General features: G+C 47.4%; 1 protein-coding gene across 4 annotated transcripts in view, besides 3 other annotated features; it reads right to left on the minus strand.

Moving 5' to 3' along the window:
• FRMD4A (FERM domain containing 4A) overlaps positions 1-24,087 on the minus strand; it is a 687,219-nt gene that overhangs the window by 35,868 nt on the left and 627,264 nt on the right. For all 4 annotated transcript variants that reach the window (NM_018027.5, NM_001318336.2, NM_001318337.2 and 1 more), the window contains 2 exons: positions 21,767-21,905; positions 14,325-14,466 (listed from right to left, as the gene is read on the minus strand). In NM_018027.5, coding sequence (NP_060497.3) covers positions 14,325-14,466; positions 21,767-21,905 — 281 coding nt within the window. The remainder of the gene's footprint in view (positions 1-14,324; positions 14,467-21,766; positions 21,906-24,087) is intronic.
• Positions 7,134-7,253: a silencer, noted in NCBI's record as "silent region_2156". NCBI's record gives its function as "represses an Ori minimal core promoter by ATAC-STARR-seq in GM12878 lymphoblastoid cells {active_cell/tissue: GM12878}" and the evidence as "EXISTENCE:reporter gene assay evidence [ECO:0000049][PMID:35858748]".
• Positions 10,946-11,502: an enhancer, noted in NCBI's record as "NANOG-H3K27ac-H3K4me1 hESC enhancer chr10:13732519-13733075 (GRCh37/hg19 assembly coordinates)". NCBI's record gives its function as "activates a minimal SCP1, AML or CMV promoter by ChIP-STARR-seq in naive H9 embryonic stem cells {active_cell/tissue: H9 hESC(naive)}" and the evidence as "EXISTENCE:reporter gene assay evidence [ECO:0000049][PMID:30033119]".
• Positions 21,171-21,220: a silencer, noted in NCBI's record as "silent region_2157". NCBI's record gives its function as "represses an Ori minimal core promoter by ATAC-STARR-seq in GM12878 lymphoblastoid cells {active_cell/tissue: GM12878}" and the evidence as "EXISTENCE:reporter gene assay evidence [ECO:0000049][PMID:35858748]".

The raw sequence follows: 24,087 nt of genomic DNA on the forward strand, positions 1-24,087 counted from the left end.
GTTGGAGGTGGGGTCAAGGAGGTTCTGTGGCTATTCTTATCCTATTCCACTCCACGTTCCTCAAAACAGAGCAGCTCCCCGTGAACCTGCTGCATGTATTCAGGTTGCCGTATTGTAACGAAAAGAGGTTCCCATTGCCTTTTTTGTCTTTAGGAAATCCACTGTTCTGGGGCAAGGGCTCGGAGCTTTCACCGCTGCTCTACCTCAGGGCTTGTCTGATCTGAGCCTGCGGGCTGCTACCTGCAACTAAGCAAACGTGGCCACCAAGGCAAGAGGTGGCCGAGTGCCCAGTGACACGGACACACCAGCAACATTCCACAGAAGCAGCTCAAAGGGCGTCAGGAGAGGGAGCCCAAAATGCCCTCTGATATTGATCTGCTTTCCCACGTCCTCCACAAATGCCCACTAGGCATCCACTGACCCAGCAGGTTGGTTTTAAAAGGGAAGAAGGAAAGAAGCTACAAGACAGGGAGAAATCAAGAGGTGGAGGTTCACTCTCACTGCCTGCCTTGATGCCCTCAAGTGACAGAATGACTCCAGGAAGAAATTGAGGCAGGGCAGAGCCTTAGGGCTCAGGGAAATGGGACTGTCAAAAACTAAAAGCTGGTCACAGTGGCTCACACCTGTAATCCCAGCACTTTGGGAGGCCAAGGAGGGAGCATCCCTTGAAGCCAGGAGTATGAGACCAGCCTGGGCAACATGGTGAGACTCTGTCTCTACAAAAACAAAACCAAACCAAAAATTCTAATTTCAAATCAGCACCTAGGCTTATGCTGATTTATCCATTTTCAGTTATTTGAACACATATATGCTTTTGCAAGTGCAAACCTCTTTGAGGTTGTGTTTAGCCCCTTGGAAATTAAAAAAAAAAGGGCTGGGTGTCGTGGCTCATGCCTATAATCCCAGCACTTTGGGAGGCCGAGGTGGGCAGATCAGGAGGTCAGATTTTGAGACCAGCCTGGCCAACATGGCGAAACCCTGTCTTCTACTAAAAATACAAAAATCAGCTGGGCGTTGTGGCATGCACCTGTAATCCCAGCTACTTGGGGAGCCGAGACAGGAGAATCGCTTGAACCTCGGAGGCGGAGGTTGCGGTGAGCTGAGATGGCGCCACTGCACTCCAGCCGGGGTGACAGAGCGAGACTCCATTTAAAAAAAAAAATTTAAAAAAAAGTTTAAAAAAAGGATATAGGCTGGGCGCAGTGGCTCATACCTGTAATACTAGCACTCTGGGAGGCTGAGGTGGGAGGACTGCTTGAGGCTAGGAGTTCAAGACCAGCCTGGCCATAGTGAGACCCCTGCTCTACTAAAAAAAAATTAAATGATCTAAATCTGCTATCATGGAGAGAGGGTGGTGACTGGAGGGAAAGACACTGGATTTTCATCACATATCTGCCATTAAATGGTGTAACGCCTTGAGTTACTAATCTCATGGTTCCATCTATAAAATTACCAATTGACCCATCTCTAAGATTCCTCAAACTGAATTCACTATTACTCAATAAACAACTTACTCGGATAGTTCCCTCGTGCCTCTAGCAGTCATTTTTGCAATTTTTACAACAGGCATCTTATACACAGCACAATCTTCCCTCCCCTTTTTCTCTACCTTCCTAACTTCTAGCCTTCTGCCAGTGCTGCTCTCATTTCAGTTACTGCTACAGCCTCTCCCGGGCTGGAAGGGTGTGTCTCATCATTAACCAGTGCCTAAAGGATTTACTGCTTCATCAACAGACCGAAGCAAATATTTGTAAACTCAAAAGCTAAACAGAGTTTAATCTGAGCTGTCTCTGGGATTAATGAAGTAGAAGATGGATGGAACCTCTTTATTCTAGGTAGAAGGGCGAGATTTCAAAGGTTATTGATTGAGAAAACAGTAGCTAAGTGCTACCTGGAAAGGGTTGTCCAAACATGAGTTGGTGTAGGAGTCAAGGGGAAAACAGAGGTGATCTCAATACGGTTTGTGAAAGGCACATATATATATGTATGTATATATGTATATGTGTATATATATATATTTTTGTAAAGTTTCAGGCAACACTCAGATTTATTAGAGTATTCTGAATATTCTTTAGAAGACACAAACTGTTATGTAGCTTCCTCTAAAGCCAAAGCTCACACCAGTGGTTTTGAGGTAATAGGGCTGGGTGTGTGTTCCAGCACTGCCGTTTACCAGCTGTGGGGACTTGGGAAGGTTGTGTAACCTCTCGAAGTCTGTTTCCTCCCCTGTAAAATGGGAATGAAAACAGGACTTCTTCAGAAGTTGGGAGAATTAAAAGAGAACGCTTAGAAGATGCTTGGAAGAGAGGTGAGAATATATTAAGTGTTACATGAATACCAGTTACTCTTTCTATTAAAAAGTGAGGCTGGGGTGGTGTCTCACACCTATAATCCCAGCACTTTTGGGAGGCTGAAATGGGAGGACTGCTTGAGGCCAAGAGTTTGAGACCATCTTGGGCAACATAGCCAGACCTTGTCTCTACAAAAATTAAAAAAAAAAATTAGTAAGGCGTGGTAGTGCATGCCTGTGGTCTCAGCTACGCTGGAGGCTGAGATGGGAGAATTCCTTCAGCAGAGGGTGTTGAGGCTACTGTGAGCTGTGATTGCGCCACTGCACTCCAGCCTGGGCAACAAAGCAAGACCCCGTCTGAAACCCTCCCCCGCCACTATTCCTAGCCTTTACTAGGAGTCTGCACCCCAATTCAGAGAGCTTCAAAATGTAGATGAGAAAGTCCATTTCGTGGACAAGCAAGGAAACGTAGAATGCTTGCAGATGTACCACCCACCGTGGCCACATCAATTCAGGAAGCTCAGGAGGAGAAGGGTAAGGAAATGAGTTTTTAGAGAACTCCTAAACAGGAGCTTCCTACCTGCTGCACTTCATTGAATCCTCACAGAGACATCATTCCCATTTTCTTTCTTTCTTTTTTTTTTTTTTTTTTTTTGAGACAGAGTCTCGCTTTGTCACCAAAGCTGGAGTGCAGTGGCCTGATCTTGGCTCACTGCAACCTCCACCTCCCGGGTTCAAGTGATTCTCCTGCCTCAGCCTCCTGAATAGCTGGGACCACAGGCACACGCCACCACGCCCGGCTAATTTTTATATTTTTAGTAGAGATGGGGTTAGTAGAGATATAGTATGTTGGTCAGGTTGGTCTTGAACTCCTGACCCTGTGATCCACCTGCCTCGGCCTCCCAAAGTGCTGGGATTACAGGCGTGAGCCACTGCGCCTGGCCTCCCATTTTCATAGAAAAGGTCACAGAGTCATAAGGAGGCTGAACTGGGAGTCTAACTCTGCTATTCTGTCTTCTGCCTCTTGCATAAAAACTCAACACGGGTAGGAGCTTTCTGTCTTGATCTCAGCTGGGCTGCCCTGGTAAACCTGTGTAGAAAGCAGTCACATCGACTCCCAAGTGGGGGCTCTTTGCGTGATAGTGCAAGCATCAAAACCTAAGAGAAGGAAGCAGGGCAGGGGCTCTTTGGATCACCCAGGCTGGAGTGCAGTGGCGTGATCTCAGCTCACTGCAACCTCCGCCTCCTGGGTTCAAGTGATTCTCCTGCCTCAGCCTCCCATGTAGCTGGGATTACAGCGCGCCACAACGCCCGACTAATAGAAGCCTCTGGAGCCCCTTCCACGTGCACGGTGGTGTGGGAGAGACACGAACAGCAGACATGCATCCAGTGCTCAGACCTGCCTGCCGGGAGGCAGAAGAGAGCAGGCCACAAGAATAGGCCGGGCCTGGTGGCTTTCACCTCTAATGCCAGCACTTTGGGAGGCCCTGGCGGGAGGATTGCTTAATGCCAGGAGTTTGAGACTATCCTGGGCAACACAGCGAGACCCTATCTGTAAAAAAAAAAAAACAAAAAATAAAAAAATTAGTTGGATGTGGTGGTAAACGCCTGTAGTCCCAGCTGCCCAAAAGGCTGAGGCAGGAAGATCCCTTGAATCCGGGAGTTTGAGAGTACACTGAGCTATGCTCACACCACTGCGCTCCAGCCTGGGTAACAGAGTGAGACCCTGTCTCTAAACAGACAAAAAAAAGAATGAGACAGGTAGTAGTTGCCGTAGAAGGTGGAAGGTGGAACCCACAGCCGGGAGCTAACTGGGTAATTAACGTGAATTGTAGCTGGTCACATCCAGTTTTTTTTTTTTCTTTTTGAGACGGAGTCTCACTCTGTCGCCCAGGCTGGAGTGCAGTGGTGTGATCTCAGTTCACTGCAACCTCTGCCTCCTGGGTTCAAGTGATTCTCCTGCCTCAGCCTCCCGAGTAGCTGGGATTATAGTGCGCCACCATGCCTGACTAATTTTTCTATTTTTAGTAGAGATGGGGTTTCACCATGTTAGCCAGGCTGGTCTCCAACTGCTGACCTCAAGTGATCTGCCCGCCTTGACTCCCAAAGTGCTGGGATTACAGGCGTGAGCCACTGCACCCAGCTGGGTGACTTTTTTTATTGCCTCTCTGAGAAGGTTAAGCCTGCCTCTGAATTATTGTCAGGAAAACAGTGTCATCAGGTCAGTTCTCCAGCAAAAAATCTTTCCTCCCAGTTATCGGGAGGAAATGATCTACTTGAATGATACTAAAGATAGAATCTGTTGTTTTTGGCGACCTTATGAGCACATTTCAATCCTAATCCAAAGGATTTTCATTGAACTAGTTCACTAATAATCTGGCCAACGAGGAAGACAAAAAGGGCTGACCCTAAAAAGACAATTCCCATCCAAGCAGAGAGAGAGATGGAGTTACTCACGCCAAGTCAGAAAGTCATTTTCGGGGGCATTTGGAAATCTTTGGAGTGAACTTCCCGATGCTATGAACATTGTTTGAGACCCTGGAGACACTGCCTGTGTCACTGTGGGTTTCCCAGCTTCCAGCCGGGGAACTCCAGACTCCAGCCGGGGACAGCTGGGTGTGGAGGAGCGGATGTGGAGGCAACGCCAGCAGCACAAACAGCAGCTCTCCTCCCGGCCGGCAGACACATGGAAGGACAGCCTCTTTCAGCCTCATTCAGCCGCGAGCCAGAAATGCTCCAATTGTTCAGAAGACCCTGGGCGACTCAGCACCGGATATGAGCGCACATTCTGCCAGGAGGACGTTGTCAGGAGCCACGCGTGGCTCATCTGTTTTTGACACAGAGGGGATATTGATGACCAGCCACTGATTTCAGAAGACAGAGAAGGGGTGCTTTCCTCTCTGGAAGGAGGGGAAACTTCAAAGCAAACAATGCTCCAAAGAAGAAAGGAATCGGTTGTTCTAGAACTAAAGAAGGGAAATGACAATCCGTCTCTTTAGACCTTAGAGAAAAAAAAAAAAAAATGAAGAAGGCGGTATATTCCCAGCAGATCAGTAAAAGCTGTAAGGAAAAGTTTTGGCAGACATCCCAGGAATAAATATGAGGAAAAGGTTAGAATTCTTCTTTATGATAAAAAGATATTTATTTCCTTGACAAATCCTCAGTGATGAATTCCTTACATAAAAGATGTCCCAGGAGACCACGGGAAATAATGCCACATTGCAGACTGCAGGATAAACGTGTCATCTCTGGGGACTGTTATAGAGAATTAGATGTGATTTTTAACATGAAAAAATGCATGCTTGGAGAACTTTTCATCAGGCTTAGAAATTTTAGAAATAAAATAGTTCATTTCAGAGAGCATTGAAATTGAAGCTCTTTGAAAACCAAGCACCTTTTGATGGTGGCTGGGAGTCTCTGGAAGAGCTTTGCTTTCTGGCTAGATTCCATGGCTCACTGGCACTCGGTGAAGAGTGCAAATGTAATTTAACAGAGAGAGAGGAGAATGGAAAAAAATAACTGAACATTCATTTTAAAAAATTAGCAGCATCCAGTAAAATACCCAGCTGAAACTATGGTTTGTAAATCCTACAGTTTCCATTTCTTAGGCTGTGAAATGAGGGAGCTGACCTATCTTCTGGGTCCAAGCTTGTTAGGCTATTGCAATACCAACGTTTGCAGGTTAACTGTGAATTTCAGTCATCCTCATTCTGTGCTCCCAGCAAAGGAGCACTGCAACAGAGGGCTGGCCCTAAATGGGAACAGAGAAACGCTCGTGGGAAGTGATAGTTATATCTCTTTTTAGTATTTAAAATTTCATCACAGTCCTACCCAGTCAGGAGGCTGAGGCAGGAGGATCGCTTAAGCCCAGGAGTTTGAGGCTGGAGTGAGCTAGCATTGCACCACTGCACTCAGGGCGACAGAGCGAGACCCTGTCTCAAAAAAAAGTTATCATTGGAAAGTCATTCATTTAGGTTATACATTGTCATTTGGTCCTGGTTCCCTTTAGTGGGCAAATGCTCCTTTATTAGTAACACCTCAGGGGATAAATATAGCTGTGTAAATGACTTTGTCTTTATTTCCCCCAAAATAAGAACAGAAAGGGATAACGACTCTGTCTCCCTCTCAATTTTGACTCAGGCCAGTCCTGCTCAAACATGTCCAGAACCATCCATTCCCCAGAAAGAGATTTCGCAGCTCTCCCTGGGCACACGGTCCAGCATAAACAAACCCTGGCACAATCCGACTTTGGCTGCGCCCTGGGGCAGAGCAGAGGCTATGACCAAAATTAAGGCCCCTGGAATCCTGTCCATTGTTAGACCTAAAAGGAGAGGCCACAGGCCATGGGTAATGGAGGACTTTAAAAGGCCAGGAACAGAGATACAGGGAGGAGAAGGAGGAAGGACAAAAGAGAAGGGATGAAGACAAAACCGAAAAACGTCGTGTGATTTATATCAGCGCAAGGCAGTGAATTCTGAGCTGAACACAGCCGCCATCATGACGCTGACAGAGCCTATCAGCTCCCCTCTCTGTTTGGAGAGATGTCAGATAGCTGGCACTCTCATTGTTACATTAGTTATTAATAAACTCCTTAACAATGGGAGGAAGTGCTAGCATTCAGAGAATGGGAGTGTGTCAACAGCTGAGGACTGAATGTGGACGGATCCCAGGCAATGCCAGGCCCATGTTTAGCACAACCTGTTTTCTCCCAGAACAGAAAGTGTCAGAGCCAGGGTACAATGACAGACTGCAAGTTTTGTTTCATTTCTCGTTTTTTAAACCCAAGATCCATCACCAGATTCTTCGCAATCTTGCTGATCACACTGCAGATGACTCAATGGCCATCTCAGTAATCACACAGCCAAATTCCTACTTGAAAACACAACATATCCCTTAGTTTTACAGAGAATGGGTCGTTTATGGCCCTAGACTTCTAGTCGAGAAGCCAAGATCAGCCTCATCATCTCATTTAAGAAATGCTGCAGTCCCATTTATTCGTTTCAGTGGTTAATACAACAAGCCACACGTCCCTGCAGCACACTGGGTATTTCCTAAGTGGGTTTGTGCTATTTTCCTTAAAAAGCCTGAGAACAAAAACTAACTCTCCTAACTCCCATTGAAATCAGAACTGTTCTCTGATGGCTTGGCCAGGTGTGGTGGCTCAAGCCTGTAATCCCAGCATGTTGGGAGGCCGAGGCAGGCAGCTCACTTGAGCTCAAGAGTTCGAGACCATCCTGGCCAACATCATGAAACCCCATCTCTACTAAAAATACAAAAATTAATTAGCCAAATGTGGTGGTGGGCAACTGTAGTCCCAGCTGCTCAGGAGGCTGAGGCAGGAGAATCGCAGATAACCCGGGAGGAAGAGGTTGCAGTGAGCCGAGATCATGCCACTGCACTCCAGCCTGGGCGACAGAGCAAGACTCCATCTCAAAAAACAAAATGAATGAATGAATGAGCTGTTCTCTGATGGCAAATCCCCAAAACAACACTTAGAACAAATCTCAGGCTCTGTCTCACTTTCAGACAAGCTATGAATGGGCTGTGTGTCTTCACCTACAAAGATACACCCAGTTATTGTTGCTTTGTTGTTGTTATTCCCTTTTTTCTCCCCTCCAACATTTTCTGGAATTTCAAGTAACATGAGATGGGAAGGAAGGAATAAACCCATTCAAGTTCTTTCAACATGGATTTTGGATTCTTTTTTTAAAAGACCCTGAACATGTCTTAACCAGATGGTTTGAATTCATAGTTGTTCTCTCAAACTGTACCTGAACTTTCTGCAAATGTGTTACCTGAAGACTTAGGAGTGAAAGCAACAGAGAGACGCAGCTACAAATGTGGAAGCAATCACTGGGCTGTCACAGGGCAGAGTGAATCCAATGCACCCTGCCTGCTCCCCCTCCAGTGGTCAATAACAGAGGCACTGAGCACCTGCACAAATGGATTCAGGACGCGGGTTCCACGACTTTCCTCCCATCTGAATGCCACTCAGTGCTGCATGGGGAGGTGAGAATTTCATTCCTTTTCTTCCAACACAGGCTTACAGCTCTGATTCAGATGGTTCACCACCTCTAAGGGCCTCCACTTAAATACAGGTCTACGGGGTCTCACAGGGGACAGCTCTGCGTATCACTACTACGGGATTCAGGGCCCTGATCTCAAGCCTTAACCAATCACTTTAACTACGCTGAAATCATCTGCCATTGAGTCATCTGCAGTGTGATGAGCAGGACTGTCAAGAATCTGGTGACAGCATAGCAAAGACTTGGAACCAACCTAAATGTCCAACAACGATAGACTGGATTAAGAAAATGCGGCACATATACACCATGGAATACTATGCAGCCATAAAAAATGATGAGTTCATGTCCTTTGTAGGGACATGGATGAAACTGGAAACCATCATTCTCGGCAAACTATAGCAAGCACAAAAAACCAAACACCGCATGTTCTCACTCATAGGTGGGAATTGAAGAATGAGAACACATGGACACAGGAAGGGGAACATCACACACTGGGGACTGTTGTGGGGTGGGGGACAGGGGGAGGGATAGCATTAGGAGATATACCTAATGCTAAATGACGAGTTAATCGGTGCAGCACACCAACATGGCACATGTATACGTGTGTAACAAACCTGCACCTTGTGCACATGTACCCTAAAACTTAAAGTATAATAATAAAAAAATTAAAAAATTTACTATTAAAAAAAAGAATCTGGTGACGGATCTTGGGTTTAAAAAATAAAAATGAAGCAAAATCTACAGTCAACTATGTTGACTTTTTTATTTGAAATGCTAATCCGTGGCTCAGGGCATTGGTAGGTATGGATATTGACTTCTTTTTTATTTATTTACTTATTTTAGAGACAGAGTCTCGCTCTGTCTCACAGGCTGGAATGCAGTGGTGTAATTTCAGCTCACTGCAACCTCTGCCTCCTAGCTAGGCTCAAGTAACTCTCCTGCCTCAGCCTCCCAAGTATCTGGGATTATGGGTGTGTAATTACACGCCTAGCTAATTTTTATATTTTTGGTAGAGACCGGATTTCATCATGTTGGCCAGGCTAGTCTCGAACTCCTGCCTGCCTTGGCCTCCCAAAGTGCTGGGATTACAGGCCTGAGCCATTGCACCTGGCCTGGCTTCTTTAATAGGTATCAATGACATTCTTCATTTCTTCAGCATCTGAGGCCTCAGATACCAAGTACTAGACTTCAGTAGTTTTAAAGGTAATTATGTGTCCTTAAACAGGCAAACCACCTTCAAAGTTACTAATAGTTTAGAAACATTTTACGTCTTTTTTTTAAATCAATGAGCAGTACACAAACTCTTTGCGGGGGGGGGGGGGGGGGGGGGGAGGGCTATAACTTTGTAAAATGCTGTGTATAGTACCTGGCAGAGTTGGGAGCTAGCAGAAATGTTTATACCACAGAAATCTTACAGTGTTGTGACATGGCTCAGACACACCATGATTTGGGTTTAGATGAGGGTCAGAGAATAATTGAAAGATGACAAGATGGATACTACTGCAGGACACTGACGTGACACAAACTTTAAAGGTCTCATACCAGTGTGACAAAGGCTTACAATATAATTTGGGAAAAAAAGTACTGGAGACAGATCCTATGGGAGGTATCAGCAAGGCCCAGGGTACCATACACTCTAGGAACATAGATTAGAAGATTCTTTTTTTTTTTTTTTTTTAAGAGACAGGGTCTCACTCTGTCACCTAGGCTGTTAGTATAGTGATACCATCATAGCTCACTACAGCCTTGAACTCCTGGGCTCACGTGATCCTCCAGCCTCAGCCTCCCAAGTAGTGGGAAATATAAGCATGCACCACCATGTCCAGCTATATTAAGAAGATTTTTTTTTTTTTGGTACAGATGGTGTCTTGCTATGTTGCCAAGGCTGGTCTGGAACTCCTGGCTTCAAGTGATCCTCCCCACCGCCCCAAACCCCTACCCTCCTGAATAGGCGTGAGCCACTGTGCTGGGGTGAATATTCCTAAAACACAGCACATGCAGGAGTCTTATTAGTATCCTTCACAATTTAATTCAATTTCAATAACTGTGCATCAAACACCTATTGGGTGTTGGGTACTGGGCAAGTATTAGAAAATTCTGAAATGGAGACTAGTTTCTCAAAATGCTTTTAAGGAACAATTATTAGACACTATCTAACAAGGAGGTGAAAGAGAGAAAACAGTTGACCCAACTGGACACTGGGTTATACATATCACCTTTTCTGAATGAACATCAGAAAATAAAATCCGGCAAGTGTAATAAGAGTATTAACAATTAGAGCTCTCCTGGAATTGCAAGCAGCGGGGCTTGTCCCCTTTGTGGGAACACATTCTAGGCAAGAGGGCAGAAAGGCAGGAAGAAAGGGATGGAGATGAGCCAGCCGCCTAGATCTTCAGGCCAAGGCTAGATTTCCCCATTGCAAGGGATGTCGAATCAGCCCCTTCCAGATGGCGCTGCCAATGCTTTCATCACGGGAAAGCTTTATCCTCCTGGTGCAAGGAAACACAGGCAGCCGTCAGCCATCCCAGCGGGAGGGAGAACAAGATCTAGGGGTGCTAGAAATTCCCTTTGTTCCCTGATGGAATGTTTCCTGTTTGCAGTGCGTCCCCCCACTGTCTTGGCCCTCCTAAGTCACAGGAGGTGGGTGTGGGGCACCCCAAGGAGCCTCCACCCTGGCACTAAAGGATGTTTTTCAGGCTCAAACTTGCAGGGCTGGTAAGAGTGGGACCTGCCCTCGGGTTGAGTCATGGGGCTTTCTCACCTTCTCACCAGGGTTTCTTCTTGCTCAGCTGTGCAGCTGCAGAAAGGGCTGAGGGCACTGAAGCTGACAATGGGAGCCGCTCTGCAAGTGGCCCCAGCTGCTACTACTAACTCCTAATCACCTCAGCCTGGGGCCCCAGCGCTGAATGATAAAGCATTTGAAGATCGCTTCATTGTATTGGTATACCGATGCTTATCTATTAGGTGTACAGATGGATTAAGCAGGAAGGTTTTCTTAGGATTTCTCTTCTAGCCCACCAGATTGATTAGCAAAGTCCAGCCTGTGGGGAGTCATAGAGATGTACTGCTTTTAAGTCTTAAAGACACTTGGATTTCATTTGTGTGTGTGTGTGAGAGAGACACAGTCTCACTCTGCCGCTCAGGCTGGAGTACAGTAGCATCATCTTAGCTCACTGCAACCTCCGCCTCCTGAGTTCAAGTGATTCTCCTGCCTCAGCCTCGAAAATAACTGGGATTACAGGTGTGCACCACCATGCCTGGCTAAGTTTTGTATTTTTAGTAGAGATGGGCTTTCACCACGTTAGCCAGGCTGGTCTCTAACTCCTGGCCTCAAGCGATCCGCCTGCCTTGGCCTCCCAAAGTGCTGGGATTACAGGCGTGAGCCACTGCGCCCGGCCAGATTTCATTTCTGATGGTGCATGATGTCAATTTCATCTCAGGAGGTTTGGGGCTCCTGTTCACAGCCTCATCTATAGCTGCTATTAAGGTAAATTGCTGCCTTGGTGCCCCCTGGAGTCTGCCAGATACAAGGGGGCCCGTGCAGATGGACCAGGACACGGGCTTAAAACTGGGCACACCTGGGTTCTATGAGCCTGGGCAACACACCCACCCCAAGCTTGTCTCTTCCTCAGCAACAAGAGAGTCTCCCCAATTAAAGCGACTAGACCAGCAGCATCAGCCTCACTCGGAAACTTGTTAGAGGTGTAAATTCTCAGGCTCTCCCCAGACCTACAGAATCAGGAGCTCTGAGAGGGGTTTTGACAAGCCCTCCAAGTGGTTTCGATGCACGCCGAAGTTTGAGAACCACTGAGCTTCAAGAATCCAAGCTGAAGTCAGCCAGATTCCCTGTGCTAAGGGGGAAGGTGGGCTGATAGATGCAGCCTCTCTCATCTGACACTGGGTTTTCACAGGGTTAGGAAAAAACGCGATTGTAGGTTGTGTTTAAAACACAAACAAGGTGTTGGCTCTGACTCTGCTCTAGGTCATTCAGCAGGAGACTGGGAGCGGCTGTAATTCGAGGTAGGGGTCTTGGTCTTTGAATTTCATTCTCTTTGATCCTTGAAGACAACATTCTCTGCAGTCTTCATGGCCAACTCCCAAGCTTCAGAAAGAATGAGCATTGACCCCATTTTTTTGGATGAAATATTTTCGAAGAACTTAAGGCAGGGAGGGGTTGACAATGGACCCCAGGTGATGTGGCAGAGGCAGATCTAGGTTTATGGGGCTTGAAGCTTATAAAATTTTAGCAGCTTTTTTTTTTTTTTTTTTTTTTTTTTGAGACAGAGTCTTGCTCTGTTGCCCAGGCTGGAGTGCACTGGCACGATCTCTGCTCACTGCAACCTCTGCCTCCTGAGTTCAAGTGATTCTCCTGCCTCAGCCTCCCAAGTAGTGGGCTTATAGGTGTGCACCACCACACTCGGCTAATTTTTGTATTTTTAGTAGAGATGGGGTTTCACTGTGTTGGCCAGACTGGTCTCCAACTCCAGACCTCAGGTGATCCACCTGCCTTGGCCTCCCAAAGTGCTGAGATTACAGGCCTGAGCCACCACACTGGCCTTTAGCGGTTCTACTGAAGAAAAATACAAAACATATTATGTTCACAGATTTTATAAAAACACATGACCGTGTGAACACACTGCTAAGGTCCCCGGAGGGCCTCAGCCTGTCCAAGGAGGGGCCTTCAACTTAACGCTCCACTCACCAGAACAGTAACCTCGCCTCTCAGTCCAGGAAGGATGTCTGTCCTCTCTCTGGTCCTTTAAATTTCTCCTGGCTATGATTGGATCACACCAGCCCACAAGCTAACGAGACAATTTTTAGCTCCTCTTCCTCTCCTGTCTTTTCCTTTTTGTTATTGTTTACAGCCACTATATATAGTAATATAAATTACCAGGGAAGATTTCTTGCCTTCTTTGCGTGGCTCAGAGACAGCTGCATGGTTCCTACATCAATCAGGTTTTTTTCTCATATTCCACTTTTCTTTTTTTGTTTTTTGAAACAGGGTCTTGCTCTGTCACCCAGGTTGGAGGGCAGTGCAGTCACTGCTCACTGCAGCCTCAACCTCCAGGGTTCAGTGATCCTCCCTACTCAGCCTCCCAAGTAGCTGGGACTACAGGTGCTGTGCCACCACACCTGGCTAATTAATTTTTTTTTTTTTTTTTTGGTAGAGACGGGGTCTCATTATATTGCCCAGGCTGGTCTTAAACTCCCTGGCCTCAAGTGATTCTCCAGCCTCGGCCTCCCACAGTGCTGGGATTAGAGGTGTGAGCCACCGTGCCCGGCCACAATGCCCTTTTCTAACATTTCCAAACCACGGCTGCCTCCCTTCCTCTCTGCTTCTTTCAAACCCACTCCTCCTCCTGCCATTTCAGTAAATGACACCCCCCTTTTTAAGTCAGTCAGATCCAGGACCTTGGAACTCCTCTGTCCCTCCCAACATCAAAAGACAAAATGACTTGGCCAAGGCTGGCGGAAGCGGACGACGGAACCAGATCTCTGACTCGCAATTTCAAAAGGCACTGAATGGAGAAATCATGCCCTGCGACACGATGGAGAGAGTATTCCGCATTTTTAAAAGCCGGAGAAACCCACCTGGGAGTAGAATGCAGTGTCTCCTGGCACCAGATCCTGAAATTCACAACACACAAGTGGGCACATGAGCGGATTCCACTTTTCACCCTTGGACCTGACATTCCCGACAGCTTGCCATGGGGATTGTGAAACGCTCTGGGGGGTACCTGAAGACACTTAAGTGTGACCAGCAGGCCTTCTTGCACTGCGTGGTTCTACTGATGCTTTTTTTTTTTTTTTTCCCTTCCACTATTTGATTCCTGGGAGCAGTTTTCTCAGATTCGCATTTGGATCCCAACCTTGGTCTGGAAAGCAAAGCCAGCTTTGGAGCAGCTTGCCCTGCAGTCTCCCCAGCTGCAGCTCTCCCCACCTTCCTGGGTCCCCTCTGGGGTCCCAGCCATGCTCAGGGGGCGTCCCTCCAGCTGGCCTCTGCCTACCTGAAGACAGCAGGCTGCCGCTGCTGCCGCTGATGATCTTCCCCTTGCTACCCATGTTGGCCAGCTTCGAGGTCTTCAGCGTCCCCGTCTCGGTCAGGTCGATGGCGATCTCACTCAGGCTGCGTGCTGCATGGATTTTGGACTGGAATGGAAAGGGAAGCAGGTCAAAGAAGTGACGCTCACCTTGCGGAAAGGACAGTCATCCCTCGCCCGCGCCTGCTCACCGTCTTGACATTCCGCAAAGGGACTTATCTCCCTGACTAATGTGCAGCATTTTTGTTTGCATCCCTTGGCCTCATCATTAATCACCGAAACTCTCTGCGAAGAGCAGAGGCAGCTCAAGAGCTGCATCAATTGAGGATGTTCTAAGCCTCCGATTCTGTAGGCTGCACTGCTTTGTGCTTAAGAGAATGTCCTGATTTAGGAAAAGTGACTTAATCTCATTGAGCTTTATTATTCCCAGCCACAAAACAGGGTAGATGCCACTCACCACCCAGGGGTTGGTTCGGGTCAAAGGAGAAAAAGTGTGGGAAGGGTGTTCCTCCCCTCCCAACTCCCCTGTCCTCCCCTCTTCCTCCTTATCTGCCTGGCACACAGCTCTCAACAAACACTGTGGTTATAATTATTTAGTGCTTAAACAAGGAGGAGAAAATGATTTTCAGTGCTGTGAAAGACCTAAGAGATTTAAACCTCTTAAATAGTTTGCCATGTGGTCATGGAAAGTTTAGCTGATGGAGAAGTGACAGTGGTTCTCCAGCTTGGGCATCATAGCAAGATCCCATCTATACAAAAAAATTAGCCAGGTGTGGTAGTGCATGCCTGTAGTCCCAGCTACTGGGGAGGCTGAGACAAGAGGATTGCTTGAGCCCAGGAGTTGGAGGCTGCAGTGAGCTGTGATTGCACCATTGCACCCCAGCCTGGGCAACAAAGTGAGACCCTGTCTCTTAAAAAAAAAAAAGAGAGAAATGACAATGACAGATCTCTAGACCTGCAATCACAGGGTGCATGATTGTGGAAAAACTGCTCATTTGGATTCTGGGGTCCCACCAACGAACGTCTGACACGGTGCTTTGCTTATTTTGATACCTAAGTACATGTTGCCCTAGTCTTCCTATTATGGTTCAAAGGATACTCCCTTTAATCCACGTTGACTGGCTCTATTTGGTTAAAAGTCACAGCAGGTAAGAATAATTAGAAAAAACTCTATGTTCACATTGACATTCCTAAAAGCAGCGGTTTTTCAAAAAAAAATTTTTTTTTTTTTTGAGACAGAGTCTCAGTCACCCAGGCTGGAGTGCAGTGGCCCAGTCTTGACTCTCTGCAACCTCTGCCTCCTGGGTTGAAGTGGTTTTCCTGCCTTAGCCTCCTGAGTAGTGGGGATTACAGGTGTCCACCACCACGCCCAGCTAATTTTTATATTTTTAGTAGAGACGGGGTTTTGCCATGTTGGCCAGGCTGGTCTCAAACTCCTGACCTCAGGTGATCCGCCCGCTGCAGCCTCCCAAAGTGCTGGGATTACAGGCGTGAGCCACCGCGCCTGGCTAAAGCAGTGGTTTTTATAAGGTATCTGCTCCAGTTTCTACCTTCGGTAGTGACAATGTGTTTGTTTGCATTTCCCACACGTGTGTCCAATGTTTGCTTGTTTTCTTCTTCAGGAAATCAACTTTTTGTGAGTGTGCTGAAGGCAACAGGCTTTGCCAGTACACAGAACTTCGTGAAAACAACTAGAAACGGTCACTTGCTCATCTGTCCTTTCTGTGGCCACTGTCTACAGCACACACACGGACTGGGCGAGGTTCACCATTGTAGCTTCCTGCCTGGCCTGTGGAACCCAAGGTCTTTCCCACACAGGAGAAAGCAGGCATGGGGGCGGTGGTGAAGGCCATGGAGGGGTGTGGACCCACCACTCCTGGATGCCCCGTGTACAGCCTACCTTCCGTGCCTGGGGGCCCTTACTGTCCAGCCAGGGCTGTCTGAATGCCTGCAGCTCTGCCCTTCCTCTGCCCTCGACGTTGCTGTCCACACTGGCAAGGACAGCGACTTCCGACCTCATGTTAACACGATGGAAGTCTGCGGGCTGGAGGAAACACTGAGGCATGGCGCTTGTTTTCTTCACCTGGTGTGAATTGTCTTCCTCCTCCTCCTCCTCCCTACCCCGTGGGCCTTTCCTCGACTTATGCTTCCTTGCTAACCTCAACTTTTTTCCTTGCATTCAGACTGAAGTCGACTTCCTCAGGCGAATTTCCTTGTTCATAAAACAATCCTGGCTGCCAGGCCCTCGAAGGATTTTGGCTTGCCGCAGAAGGAAGGAAAAGGGCTTTTTATTTCATTTTGACACAGCCTATCATTTGCGCCCATCTGGTTGAGTTTTACCCTCTAAGCAAGCATGGCGAGTACAACCCATGACTTCCTTTCTTTCTACATCGCTCTGTTATGGAGACCCAGGTTTTAATAAAAAGTAGCCCACTCCCAAACGGTGATGTAACAATAACTCACGAAGGCCTAGACCAATTCAGTGCTGGGTGAAGGGTCTGGGCTCTGAAGTCAGAATGACCTGAATTAGAGCTGGGCATGGTGGCTCAAGCCTGTCCATCCCAGCACTTTGGGAGGCCGAGGTGGGTGGATCACTTGAGGCCAGGTATTTGAGAACAGCCTGGCTAACATGGCAAAACCCTGTCTCTACTAAAAATACAAAAATTAGACTTGTGTGATGGCACACGCCTGTAGTCCCAGTTACTCTGGAGGCTGAGGCAGGAGAATTGCTTGAACCCGGGAGGCGGAGGTTGCAGTGAGCTGAGATCACGCCACTGCCTGATCTCATTCCAGGCTGGGTGCTAGAGTGAGACTGTCTAAAAAAAAAGACCTGAATTAGAATCTTGGCTCTTCCCAGTGAATCACTATCGGACTTTGACCCTTCACCTTCCTGATTCTCAGATACATGTTTGTAAAATGGAGGTCTTAAAACCCACATCCCAGAGTTGTGATAACTAAAGTAGATAATTTATGTAAAGGCCATCGTAATAAGAATAGGATCTGCATTAGGGCCTGGCTGTAATTTGCTAACTGAGGTTAGATTGATGGCCCAACCAGATATTTTGGGGACCTCATTAATCACATGAAAAACTTATCCCCCTTGTCATACCAGAACTCTTGCCACACATCATTCTTAAAACAAAAATATGAGATCAAAAGGCATCCTTCCTAAAGGAGACTAGATTCCTGGAAGCCTTATGGAAGCTTTAGCAAACTACTGGATTTTTTTTTTTTTTTTTTTGAGACAGAGTTTCACACTGTTGCCTAGGCTGGGGGAGTGCGGTGGCACGATCTCAGCTCACTGCAACCTCTGCCTCCTGGGTTCAAGCGATTCTCCTCCCTCAGCCTCCTGAGTAGCTGGGACCACACATGTGGTCCACCACGCCTGGCTATTTTTAGTAGATACGGGGTTTTGCCATGTTGGCCAGGCTGGTGTCAAACCCCTGATCTTAGGTGATCTGCCCGACTCAGCCTCCCAAAGTGCTGGGATTACAGGCATGAGCCACTGCGCCCGGTCCGGATTCTTTCTAGAATGGAAAATATCACAGCGACCTAACAGACTCGGTGGGGAGAGGACCGGGAGGACATGGGCATTGTCGGGGAGAGTCTCTCTTTGCAAAGTCAGGTCTCTGGGCTGACCTTAAGGAGTCCCCAGACTCTGGAACATTTTGGTCTGGGAGTCTTGGCTGATACACGTGACTCAGTCTTCTGTCTGATATTGTGGGAACAAAGCTTCAATGTCCCTGTCCCCCTTTGACTCTGCCTTTGACTCTAAATAAAATGGTGAACTGCATCAGGGAGAGAAAAAAAAAGATTAGGAAGAAGGAAAGACGTTTGGATTGGGGGCCAATTCAAGAAGTCCCCACTCTGAGTTCAGAGGGAAAAGTGTCTAATGTCGACTCTAAACATTTTGAACTTTCAAATATTTTCCTGCAAAGTCTCTAAGACGTTCCTTGGCTCTGGGCTTCAGAGGCTGCTGGGATCTAGCAGACAACGTTTCTGATCTCTGGGGTCAGCATAGAAGTTACCAATTATAATTGGTGCCTGTGCAGCTTCTCATTCTGAAGGAGCTACAAATAACCAACCAGCACAGCCTCCCTCCGCCCTGTCTTAGATCGTAGAATGGTTTCTTGATGTATATGCATGGAGAGCTGATGGAGGGAGGGAGGGAGAGACAGGCAGAGAGAAAGAAGGAGAGATTTCCTTAAATGATTTGCACAGTGACCCTGAAAGAAGAAAAAACCCGAGTGTCAGGGGAGCACCTGAACCCTCATGGCTCCCTACCCTTGCTGACTCGAACCACTAGACCTCACTTGTCTCTCTAGGGTTGATAAACATCATTTGGGAGGCCTGGGCTTTGCTGAAGCTCTTCAGAGAAAGGAATGGTTGGCATGTCCCAGTACAGTAGAGTGTGAGCAGTGGCCAGGATACCAGCCAGAACTGGCTGCCTAGAAATGTTATGAAGCTCTCTGTCCCAGCCCTGTCGGCCATCACTCACCCAGAGGCCGTGCTGCCCATCAGAGATCAATCACATCGCTGTTCTATAAAGAACATTCCAGAAACAGAAAGGTGTTGTAATGTAATTCCCAAAGGGTACGTCATCATCTCTGATTTAATTTGCGGGCCTTTTAGAGAATTTAAACTTCATGCAAGTGTTGGCCAGTGATAGTATGCTAGATTAACTATGACATTAGTAAAAGATGGCACGTATTTCCTCAAGCAATTTCACAAACGTGGTGCCATCTGACCAATCACTAATTGAGGTCAGGAATTTCCTTTGCTGCTAATTGGGGAAAGCAAAACACCAAGGATGAAAGACCCACCCGGGGTCCCAGAGCTGGAAAACAGAGGCCTCCAATTCCCACATAGAGGGTTGTGATCCTCACCTGTCACTGCAGGCTGGGGAACTGGTTCCTGTGAGAAGTGTGAGGGCTCTAGGACATCTGTGAGCATGCCAGGCTTCCTGGGAAATGTTCTCCTTCTCCTTCTGGGAGCGTGGGCATTTTCTTCAGTCCCCAAGGGTTACTTTTACAAAAGGGACAGCTGAAACATTCCTAATGCTATGGGGCATTTGGTTTTACCTCCTAAAAGACACGTCTTGTTGCTAATTTATCTACAATAATCTTTTTTTTTTTTTTTTTCTGAGATGGAGTCTCACTCTGTCAACCACGCTGGAGTGCAGTGGTGTGATCTCAGCTCACTGCAACCTCTGCCTCCTGGGTTCAAGCAATTCTCCTCCCTCAGCCTCCCTAGTAGCTGAGATTACAGATGCCTGCCACGATGCTTGGTTATTGTTTTTTTTTTTTTTTTTTTTTTTTGTATTTTTAGTAAAGACTGGGTTTCCCCATGTTTGCCAGGCTGGTCTCGAACTCCTGACCTCAAGTGATCTGCTCTCCTCGGCTTCCCAAAGTACTGAGATTACAGGCGTGAGCCATGGCGGCCGGCCAATAATTTCCTTTTGAGATATACTTGCTGTGTCAGTGAGTTGACCTGTTAGCCTGTTCAACAACAAGGCTTGCCAACTGCAGAATGAGCCCATCTTCCCGGGTGCAGCAGGAAAGCCATAAGAACAAGTTTCTTGAAATGCTCAAGAGACCGCCTATGCAAAAACCGGCGCAGAGAGGAGGAGCTTGAACAGCCAATGCTGTGCTATCCTCAGGGCGAGATACACCTTTTCCTCTGTCCACACTGTGGTACAGTGCGTGGGGGGTCTGCCGTCAAGGGGAACTGGCAGTGGGGTTCAGGAGCATTGCCCAATCCCCTAACCCCCACCATCCATCACCCAACCACAGAGGGTGAAATTAACGTTCTCAGGTGTCGACCTCCAACTGTTGCCCCTGGACAGCAAAACCCTGACACCCACCCACTGTGTCAATATCGAGCATGAGTCAAAAACACTTTGGCCCCATTTCTTTTGATCTAATCGAGCTTCAAATTCCTGCGCTAGGACTAGGACCCATCACTGCCAGGAGAGCTGCGGAGAATACTGTCATTATTCCTAACAACAGAAATTCTCTGTCCTGCGCTCATTCATCCCAGAAAATGACCAAAAAGGGGGTCAGAAAGTAGAGGACAAGATATTTTACAAAGGATAAAATGACGGCTGCGGGGGACAGACCCCAATTTAAAACTGAATTATGACTAAAGGGATTGTTTCATTTCGTCCTGTCCTCTTTTCTTCTTTTTTTTTTCTTTTAGTAGAGATGGGGGTCTCACTATGTTGCCCAGGCTGGTCTGGAATTCCTGAGCTCAAGTGATCCTCCTGCCTTGGCCTCCCGAAGCGCTGAGACTACAGATGTGAGCCACTGTGCCCAGCCCTGTCCTCTTTTCTTTCTCTTATCACCTCCCCCTTGACCCCCAATTCGCTCACTCTCCTCTTCCCCAGAAAAAGAGAAACCCCTTAAAATATGGATAAGATGGCAAAAGAGAAAGAACCCTAGAGGGCACCGATTCAGTGACTCTTGTGCCCAGTAAGTTGAGCATCTTGCCACCTTCTCCCAAGAACTCACGCGATGGAGGGAAATCCTCCGTAAGTGCTAGAAACCACTAGCCCAGGGGCCCAGGGTGACCTCAGTCTGTATTCCCCCAGCCCAAGCCAGCAGGATCTTGAGAGAAGCTGCAGGGCCATCTTGGCAGGGCTCTTCCCCTGAGGGAGAATGAATGGGAGTGGCTTGTGGGGGGCTGACAGGGGAGTCTGGGGAGACAGGGCTGGAGGAAGAGGGGGCAGAGTGTTGATATAAGCCCTGTGTGAACCAAGGAGACGTCATCCTCTCACCCACCAGAAAACGCAGCTGCGTGCCCAGAGTCAGGGGTGGTGACATCTCCTTGGAGGAAGTCTGTTTACCAAGGCCCCAGGCTCTAGGTCTACCTTAGGGAAACAGGGTAGTTGCTTTTTTTTTTTTTTTTTTTTTTTTTAACGTTTCCAGTTTTGCATTAAAAAAAAAAAAATGGAGTTGGCAGTTGGAACCGCCTGAGGGTTTTCACAGCAATTACCCTAAACAGTTAGGTGGTGTCTATTCGTTGAGAAAGATTCCTTTTTTCTTTTCAAAAGGAAGATAGTATACCACTGTTTAAACACCAAAAAGGGCTTGCCTTCACGCTGCTAGAGGATTCTCCCGAGGGCCAAAAGCACAGTGGGAATTCCTCAAAAGGGGCCTACCTGGCTGCAGTCAGCGGCTTGAGCGGCTCTGATGGTGGTCAGAGCCCCCTGGACCAAGATGCATGGAATGTGCCCTCTTGAAGAGCTAGTCTCATCCCTCCCATCTGTAGCCCTAAGAGGCAAGCCTGTATCTGTGCAAGGTATGGACCCGGGCAAGGGACATGGCGCCTCCCCCACCCATCCGATCCTCATTCCTAAACTAAGAGAGGCAGACAATGGCCCGGGCTTGGTGAGAGGTCTGGTCACTCACCTTACTCTGCTTTCTGTCCAGATAGAACTGGTGTTGGCTTATGGCCATAGCCCAGATGGACTTGATCAATGCCGGACATGCATACCACGTGTGCACTGCAATGCCGCTGTGCCCAAACGTCCTCCTTGTCACTGAAGCCCTGGGGAAGCAAGAATCACAAGGTTCAATCCCATTTCTGTTGAGAGAAACCATTTCTCAGTCAACAGCTTCTGTAGAGAACCCACTGCGTCCTAGAAGCCCTGGCGTAAAGATGATAGATGAGCTCTCACATACACCTAGGCGTACACACACACACATGCGCACACAGCTTACAGACATCATTGGCTGGGCAAAGGCCACCTTCTGATTTTCTGACTCCCTAGAGTTCAGAATCTGGCCAAGCCTCGGCCTTGTCTGGGATAAGATGGGTCATTCTAGGTCAATGGATGGTCCTTTTTCGATCCTGGACTTGGCACTGGGCCAAGACAAACTTCGCAGACAGGAAAACCTTCAATGATGCTCCCTATGAGACAGGAAATGTGCCTACGGTGGGGATGAGTAAATTATTTTCTAATCACCACAGGCTACAGCGTCCCAGGGAATTGGGACTTCTTATATAACTAACCCAATGTTCCTTGAAGATTTGGTGATCAATTTCCAATCTATTCAGAGGGCAGGGAGGGTATAAAGAATCAGGAGAAGAAAGGCAGAGAGAAATGTGCCCAGCCCCAATTCCCCCAACGTCTGTCGATACATTTCATTTATATTTTTCAGATGGAGTCTTGCCCTGTCACCCAGGCTGGAGCGTGCTGGCAAGATCTCAGCTCACTGCAACCTCCACCTCCCAGGTTCAACCAATTCTCCTGCTTCAGCCTTCTAAGTAGCTGGGATGACAGATGCCCCCCACCACTCCGGGCTACTTTTTTGTATTTTTAGTAGAGACAGGGTTTCATCAGGCTGGTCTCTAACTCCCGGCCTCAGGTGATCCACCTGCCTCGGCCTCCCAAAGTGCTCGGATTACAGGCATGAGCCACCGCACCTGGCCCTGTCTATACATTTTTAAATCTACATGGAGTAATCAGACTTTAAAAGTGAAAACGGGAACTGTTCATCTCCACATTCATGGAGTTAGGGGGAGTTATATGGTCATGCTCTTAGTGAAGTATATTTTATAGGATAGGCAGATTATTTTGCAAATGAAATCTAAGAATGTGTGTTTGCATGTGTGTGTGTGTGTGTGTGTGTGTGTGCGCATGCATGTGAGACAAGTTGACAGGAAGGTGGGCTGGGATTTGGGGCATTTTACATGGACATCAGAAACAAAATGTATGTTCTCAAGACTAACATATCTAATTTGGAAGAAACCTGGGGGTAATCAGGACTTACAAACAATAACATTTTTTTTCATGGCTAATTTTCCCTTAAAGAAAACAAAGCTGCCAGCAATATCTTACTTTGGGCGGGGGTCGGGGGTGCTAAAGATTTAAAGTGGAGTCTTGTTCACCCTCACTTTTAAGGAGAAATTCAGATCCGGTGGTTAATGTTACTGAGTCCACACAGGTTTTTTCTCCCTTCGGTTCCAACAAAAGTGAAGGAAAAAAAAAAAAAAAAAAGCCAGAGCGTGAAAGAGCACACAGTTGAAAATAATTGAAAAAAGGAGCCAGGGAGAGAGCGAGGGGGAGATCCCTCGCCAGTCTCTCTAAATTTAAAAGAAAACAGGGATCTGTGCTCCCAGCTTGGCTTCCATAGCAGTTCTTGCTCTTGGAAATAAATGAATGACTTTTTTTTCCCCCCAGAAAAGCTGAATTAGACAAGAACAGTATCTTGAAAGGTGGTGCAAGGCTAGGTACCTCCATTTCTCAGGTACCGGGAGGGCAGAAGAGGTAAGTGGCTGGTCAGGTCCGGGTAGTTCCCCGGAGCATCTAAATCAGATACTCAGAGTTCTTCTCCTGCTCTATCATTACTTTATCTCCTCTCCTCATCTTTCGCTTCAAGCCCTTCCTATTTTACCCAAACCGTAGAAGTGAAATATTGGCCCAGCCTGGAGAAGCTCAGAAATGAAGCTAAGCATTGAGTTAGGATGCCCAGGGGGAGAAAGTGCACAGTGTTGTCCAGTGCCCCACAGGGAATGGTGCAATCACACCTGAGCCCATCGGCCCAGAAAGCAGCCTCTGCCCTGAATCATTCCCATCGATTACATCTTCATTAAATGACCGTATCTGGCGTTGCCCATCCTATTACTGCAGTTCTGACTGCCTTCCTGGCTTGGGGGAGGGGCTGAGCCCGGAACACCAAACTAACGTGAGGCCAATCACATTCCTCTTCCCTACCTCAAATAAGCA

The sequence above is a fragment of the Homo sapiens genome, chromosome 10 (genome assembly GCF_000001405.40).
Source record: "Homo sapiens chromosome 10, GRCh38.p14 Primary Assembly".
In the NCBI taxonomy this organism is placed as follows: domain Eukaryota; kingdom Metazoa; phylum Chordata; class Mammalia; order Primates; family Hominidae; genus Homo; species Homo sapiens.